The 6691-nt window shown below is 47.7% G+C and overlaps 3 annotated features.

The window, feature by feature from the left end:
* Window positions 4–143: an enhancer, noted in NCBI's record as "active region_3212". NCBI's record gives its function as "activates an Ori minimal core promoter by ATAC-STARR-seq in GM12878 lymphoblastoid cells {active_cell/tissue: GM12878}" and the evidence as "EXISTENCE:reporter gene assay evidence [ECO:0000049][PMID:35858748]".
* Window positions 815–1696: an enhancer, noted in NCBI's record as "H3K27ac-H3K4me1 hESC enhancer chr10:30721100-30721981 (GRCh37/hg19 assembly coordinates)". NCBI's record gives its function as "activates a minimal SCP1, AML or CMV promoter by ChIP-STARR-seq in primed H9 embryonic stem cells {active_cell/tissue: H9 hESC(primed)}" and the evidence as "EXISTENCE:reporter gene assay evidence [ECO:0000049][PMID:30033119]".
* Window positions 2204–2263: an enhancer, noted in NCBI's record as "active region_3211". NCBI's record gives its function as "activates an Ori minimal core promoter by ATAC-STARR-seq in GM12878 lymphoblastoid cells {active_cell/tissue: GM12878}" and the evidence as "EXISTENCE:reporter gene assay evidence [ECO:0000049][PMID:35858748]".

Here is a 6691-nt window from a genome sequence, read left to right as displayed (position 1 = left end):
GCCCGAATCGAGAGCCTGGGACGGGGACGAGTTTTCCCCCGGGCCTGGTGACCCAAGGCGTCTTAGTGGCGGAGTTGCAAGAGGTGGTTGTGCCCTTCCCGGTCCCCAGGGAAGGTCGTATATCTTAGTGTACTCGCGCCCTCGGCGCTTCTCTGGAGTCCCAGGGTCCGGCGGGAGGGCACGCTCCCGGGGGGCGGCGGGGAGGGCAGTCACCAGACCTTTTTCCGCGCGCCCCACGCTCTGGGGTGGGGACAGAGGCGCCGTGTGCCCTCCCAGCAGTGCTGCGGGAAGCCGGGGAAGCTTCGGGGCTTCTTGGAACCGCGACTGTGGGTCCGATTGCTAGTAGCACGGCCCCGCCTCGCCCAGATTTCGCTTCAAATTCACACACAAAGAGGGCAGTGACCCGTGGTGCGCACGCACACATTCCAACTTAGAGATTTCCAAGAGGCTGCGGCAGGGTGGGCCCGGAACCTGGTTGTTGGGCGCTCGGCTGGGAGCCTGTGCACTCCGCCAGCAGAACCTGGTTTTCTTCTCTGCAGTCTTTATTAAAATTGGTTATTTTGCGGCACCGCCTCATTAGGAAGCGTACTTGTACTATCTCCCCGCTCCCGCCTACCGCTAACCCTCAGTCCTAGCTGCTCATCTGGGGTTTTCCTTCTAGAGTGTCAAGCTTTTACTCCAGGTGTAACCGGAAGAGAGTTCTAGAGAAAAGCGCCACTCTCCCGAAATCCACTCTGCGGGACATTCCCAATGCCCCGCCACCCCCTCCCCCTACATTTCCCACGTATCAAGCACCCACTAGGAACCAGGCATTCGGCTAGAGCGCGGAGAGCTAGGAGCCATGTAAGGTCGACATCCTCTCTCTCTCTCTCTCTCTCTCTCTCTCTCCCCCCCCACCTACGGCCCAGGAGGTGGGGTGTCCCAGGCACAACCCAGATTCAAACGCGGTCACACTCCAAGTCCACGCCCTATTCTTCCCAGTGCCCAGGTCCGTGCTCCCTCTGCAGTTTCTAGATTGCCTCCGCGCGGTTGCGCACGCCTGTAATCCCAGCGCTTTGGAGGCCGAGGCGGGAGGATCACTTGAGGTCAGGAGTTGGAGACCAGCCTGGGCAACATAGCTACCCCGTCTCTACAAAAAATCTAAAAATTAGCCAGGCATGGTGGCTCACGCGTGTCATCCTAGCTCCTCGGAAGCTGAGGTAGGGGGATCCCTTGAGCCCAGCAGTTCGAGTCTGCCGTGAGCTATGATTGCGCCATGGCACTCCAGCCTGGGCGACAGAGCGAGGCCTTGTCTCAAATTTAAAAAATAAAATAAAACAAAAAAATTTTTGAGACTGAGTTTCGTTCTTGTTGCCCAGGCTGGGGTGCAATGGAGCGATCTGGGCTCACCACAACCTCCGCCTCCCTGGTTCAAGCGATTCTCCTGCCTCAGCCTCCCGAGTAGCTGGGATTACAGGCATGCGCCACCACGCCCGGCTAATTTTGTATTTTTAGTAGAGATGGGGTTTCTCCATGTTGGTCAGGCTGGTCTCAAACTCCCGATATCAGGTGATTCGTCCGCCTCAGCCTCCCAAAGGGCTGGGATTACAGGCGTGAGCCACCGCGGCCAACCAAAAATAAAATTTAAAAAAAAAATTTGCCTTGTACCTTCTCTAGAGCCCTCCACATTTCTGCTATGGAAAATGAATTACAATACAACCCGAGGATGTATTGAGAGAATTGCTGGAGGAGATAGGTTAGTTGAGGTGACAAGCCAGGGGCTTTTTGCAGGACCTTAACTCGCAGACAACAAGCCCAGGTAGCAAATCCAACGTCGAGGGCCGATTGACTGAATGGGCACTGTCATCCGTCAAGTTATTTTAAATACGAGAGCGATTTAATTTATATTCATTCACCTCATGAAGCAGGGCTTTGCCATTCCCTCCAAATATCCAGGCAGTCCCTTGCACCTAGAGGAGAACCCCTTCCTGAACCCTCCGCCTTTCTGATCTTGGAGGGAGGGAAGGCAGCTTCCACCAACCCGGCAGCACTGACCCGGCAGAAGCAGCCTGGGCCGGGGTTGGGGAGGAGAAGCCCCGCTCGCTTGCGCGCCGGATGGGTGGAATTTGGCACTGGCTCAAGCGGGTTATCCCAGTCTCAGCTGAAGCCGAAGTTATCAGTACACTTTTGGCCTTTTCGCTGGAAACCAGGTTAGCACAGGTTGTTACCTCTGATTGTAACGTGAGAAACAGAGACGTCTCTTTCTCTACTGCCGTGTTTAGACAACAAAGGATGATCTTTACACGAGTTTTAAAAATAGAACCATGGAACCACTCCCCTCCCCACCCGCCTTGTGTGAGCTCATTAAAACCACACCTAATCTTCTGGGAACTGCATTATTAGCCTTACTTCCTACACAGAAGTCTCCCAAATATAGCTGCATTTTAGGGAGCTGGTGAAATGGCTGGTCTAGCAGGGTTCTCTCTTGCTTCTGGCTTAATCCAGAGCAGGTTCATCTGTTGGGGTAAATTAGAAGGTTTTACTTGAAAACGTATGTAGAGTTTTTAACAAGGAGGCCAAAAGGGAGAGAGCAACTGAAAAGAAAGAAAAAGTCTGTGGACTCCCTGTATGTATGTATGTATGTATGTATGTATGTATGTATGTATGTATGATGTATTTGAGACAGGTTCTGGATCTGTCGCCCTGGCTGGACTGCAGTGGGGCGATCTCAGCTCACTGCAACCTCCACCTCCCTGGCTCAAGTGATCCTCCCACCTCAGCCTCCCAGATAGCTGGAACTACAGGCGCATGCCACCACACCCGGCTAATTTTTGTATTTTGGGTAGCGTTAGAGACGGGGTTTTGCCATGTTGCCCAGGCTGGTCTCAAATTTCTGAGCTCAAGCGATCTGCCCGCCTCAGCCTCCCAAAGTACTGGGATTACAGGCGTGAGCCACCTTGCCTAGACTCCTTGCATTTTTCTGGTCTGGCTTTTTGTTTTTTATGCAGGCTTACAAAAACAATCCTGCTCTTCTAGGGGCGAGCTAAGTGAGTTTTAAACCTACCAATGAGAAGTCCCTTGAGCCACAGTGCACACAACCATAGGGGGTTATTCTGGAAGTGATCCTAAAGCACATTACGAAACAGCTCTCTAGAAGCTGTTTGAAGCAAGCAAAATGCATTTGCAAATAAGGCTGTAACCGATTGCAGTTTACCTGAAGAAGCTTGCTCCATCTCATAGGTTGGGACATTAATGGGTTTGTAATTTGTAGTTTGGAAATCCAAATTATTTTACTCACAGAAAGAAAATTATTAACAATGGGTAGGTAACCCTGTTGGCCCATTAACCGATGTAACCACAATTGTGCTCTAGACTAATTAATATGATATGGGGCATTGTTTCTCAGTTTTTTATATTCATAAAATATGGAATTTTGTGAATAAAATAACTGCAATAAATTGGGAGCATAGCTATAGGTCACTTGGCGAAAATATGTTGTTTTTTGTTAAAAAAAAACAATAAAATACAAAGTATTGAAAGTAGATAATTTGAATAAAGCTTTAAATGAGATATTTTTAAAGTTAAGAGGAACTTGAGCCTGATTTCATGATCATAACTTTTTCTTTATGGTTTCATGTTGAAACAGCTATACAGATTAAGAGTTTCAACAACAACTTCTTTATACTTTTGATAATAACTTTCAGGTGAGAAGCTGTACAGACACGTAGGTAATACATTTACAACTATTATTATTGTCTTAAATTGTGAACAATTTGAAATTGGATTCTAAAAATTCAGTATCTCTTTTTTTTTTCATTGATATGTGTAAGTTTCTTATGATAATGTGAGTGGATTTCAGATATAATTGAAGTTTTTCTGGCCGGGTGTGGTGGCTCATGCCTGTAATCCCAACACTTTGGGAGGCGAGGCAGGTGGGAACACCTGAGGTCGGGAGCTTGAGACCAGCCTGACCAACATGGTGAAACCCCATCACTACTAAAAATACAAAAATTAGCCGGGTGTGGTGCCTCATGCCTGTACTCCCAGCTACTTGGGAGGCTGAGGCAGGAGACTCACTTGAACCTGGGAGACAGAGGTTGCAGTGAGCTGAGATCGTGTCATTGTACTTCAGCCTGGGCGACAAGAGTGAAACTCCATTTCAAAAATAAAAAATAAAATAAAAATAATTAAAGTTTTTCTGGTTTTTTTTCCCTTTTCTTTCTTTCTTTTTTTTTTTTTCCAGACACAGTCTCACTCTGTCGCCCAGGCTGGAGTGCAGCGGCACGATCTCAGCTCACTGCAAGATCTGCCTCCCGGGTTCAAGCGATTCTCCTGCCTCAGCCTCCGGAGGAGCTGAGATTACGGGTGCATGCCACCATGCCAGGCTAATTTTTGTATTTTTAGTAGAGATGGGGTTTTGCCGTGTTGGCCAGGCTGGTCTCAAACTCCTGACCTCATGTGATCCACCCACGTCAGCCTCCCAAAGTGCTGAGATTACAGGTGTGAGCCACCACATCTGGCAATTTTTTTTATATTAAGAGTTTCAAGCAGGACATGGTGGCTCACACCTGTAATCCCAGCACTTTTGGAGGCCAGGGGAGGATTTCTTGAGCCCAGGAGTTCAAGACCAGGTTGGGCAACATGGCAAAATCCTCTCTCTACAAAAAAAAAAAAAAAAAAATTTAAAACATTAACTGGCCATGGTGGCACGCACCTGTAGTCCAAGCTACTCGGAAGGCTGAGATGAGGCAGAAATTTAAAAATAAATATGCATTCATTCACTGTAAGAAAAGTAACAGGCACGGCAAAGGTTAAAAAGAAAAGAACAAGTTTCAAGTTTTCCTCTGCCTAGCAAGCTCACTTCAAGAAGAGTTATAAGATAATGCTGTCCAGAAAGCCAAGGACAAAGGAATGGGCTCCAGACAACACCCCCCTCCAGAGAAAGGTTGAAGGAAAAAAAAAAAAAGAAGAAAAAGACAAATTCTTTTACTGTTACTCCTTTCCCTGGTTTCTTAAGCATGATTATGTTTTACAAATCTCTGTATTTAGCCAGTTCTTATTTTTCTTTTGACGCAGCTATAAGGTCACTAGCTAGGCAAGGCCACAAGTTATGCTAAGTCAACAGTTATGCTATAGATTATGTGACCTGTTACTGTATGATTAATTGCTTTTGTTTGGCTTTTGTAGGTTTGCTTATAAAAACCCCACTCAGTCTTTGTTCAATGCTCAGCTTTTTGGATGCGAATCCACTGAGCTGGTGCATACCTAAAATAAACAATCCTCCTGTTCTCCATATCAGTCTCTCTGGTCCTCAGTTTCTTGAGCCCAGGATGTTGAGGCTGCAGTGAGCTATGATCATGTCACTGTGCTGCAGCCTAAGTGACAGAGTGAGACTCTGTCTCAAAAAAAAAAAAAAAAAGAGGGGCGGGATTTTCAAAATGACAAAGTAACATGCAGAAAATGCATGCATCCTTAGAGCAGTTACCTTGGATACCACTGAAAAGGCACATCGGCCCAAAGAATGAAGTATCCAACGGAGGTAGACATTTAGGGTTGCCTTTTCCACTGTGGGAACGAACAGCTCCACCCCATGCCCCACCTCTGCCACTGACTGCTCCTTGGACTATGGCCATCTGCTCCAATACCTAAAACATAAACTCCTTCCTCTAACACAGGCTAGGCCCTCTATTCATGACCATGCAGTCATGAGAACCTGTTCAGCCTCACTTAGCATCTTGAGGTGGAGCAGAGCCATCCATCAGACCTGTGGGGACCACAGGGTGCTTCATTAGATTCTGCTGTCCCCCAGCAGCCCTCTAAGACAACCCAGGTGAGATTGGAAAGACACCAGGCCCTAGAGCCACAGGCCCACCTGCCTGCCTTAAGCAATAGAGATGAGTATCTATAATGCATTCATGGTACAGCAATAGGCAAGACTATGCCCTCAGCTCTTACAACCCTCTTCCCTTCCCATCCACCTTAGGACTATGGGGGAGGAATGCAGACAAGGTTGAAAGGGACAGTCTTCTCCATCCTCCTCCTTCCGTTTTCCTTCTCCTCCCCTTTGGGAGGTAGCTCACCAGCTTTTGCCTTTCCTGTGTAAAGTGAAAATAGCAACTGAGCAAGGGAAATGGGGCCCCAGGCAGAGATGAGGTCCTCCCGTGGGGGAAGGGGAGAGAAGTCCCCGGTAACCCTGGGAAGGGAAGGGGAGTTCCTAAATTCACTCAGCTGTGGCTGTTGTTTATCTTGAAGGCTGGGTGTAAATTGGGCCTGTATATGAACCAAGACCATCTGTTCTCATGTGCAGAAAACTAAAATGTAGGTCTCTCAAAGGGCCTAAATAGCATTATTCTGTATGCTAAATGTTAAGAATTTTATTACTTACTTAGTGTTGTGGCTTCCCCAAATTTGAGGTTCTCGAACTGCACTTTAAAAACAGAACTATTGGTCTGTGCTCCTGTGTTCCACCTCCCAAATGGAAACTCCTTGTGCAGGGTTTCTTGATCATGGCCTTCCGAAATGACCACATGGCATAGGACTGCTAGCACCCAGAACTGTGCAAGACTGTGTCCTCATGCGCATGCAGTAGCTTTCACTTGCCACACTTTTTTTTTTTTTTTTTTTGAGATGGAGCCTTGCTCTGTCATTCAGGCTGGAGTGCAGTGGTGTGATCTCAGCTCACTGCAACCTCTGCCCCTGCAAGGTTCAAGCG

This window comes from Homo sapiens, chromosome 10, assembly GCF_000001405.40.
Source record: "Homo sapiens chromosome 10, GRCh38.p14 Primary Assembly".
Taxonomy (NCBI): Eukaryota; Metazoa; Chordata; class Mammalia; order Primates; family Hominidae; genus Homo; species Homo sapiens.
The sequence above is the reverse complement of the archived record's forward strand: the minus strand, read 5'-3'. Positions and strand labels throughout refer to the sequence as shown.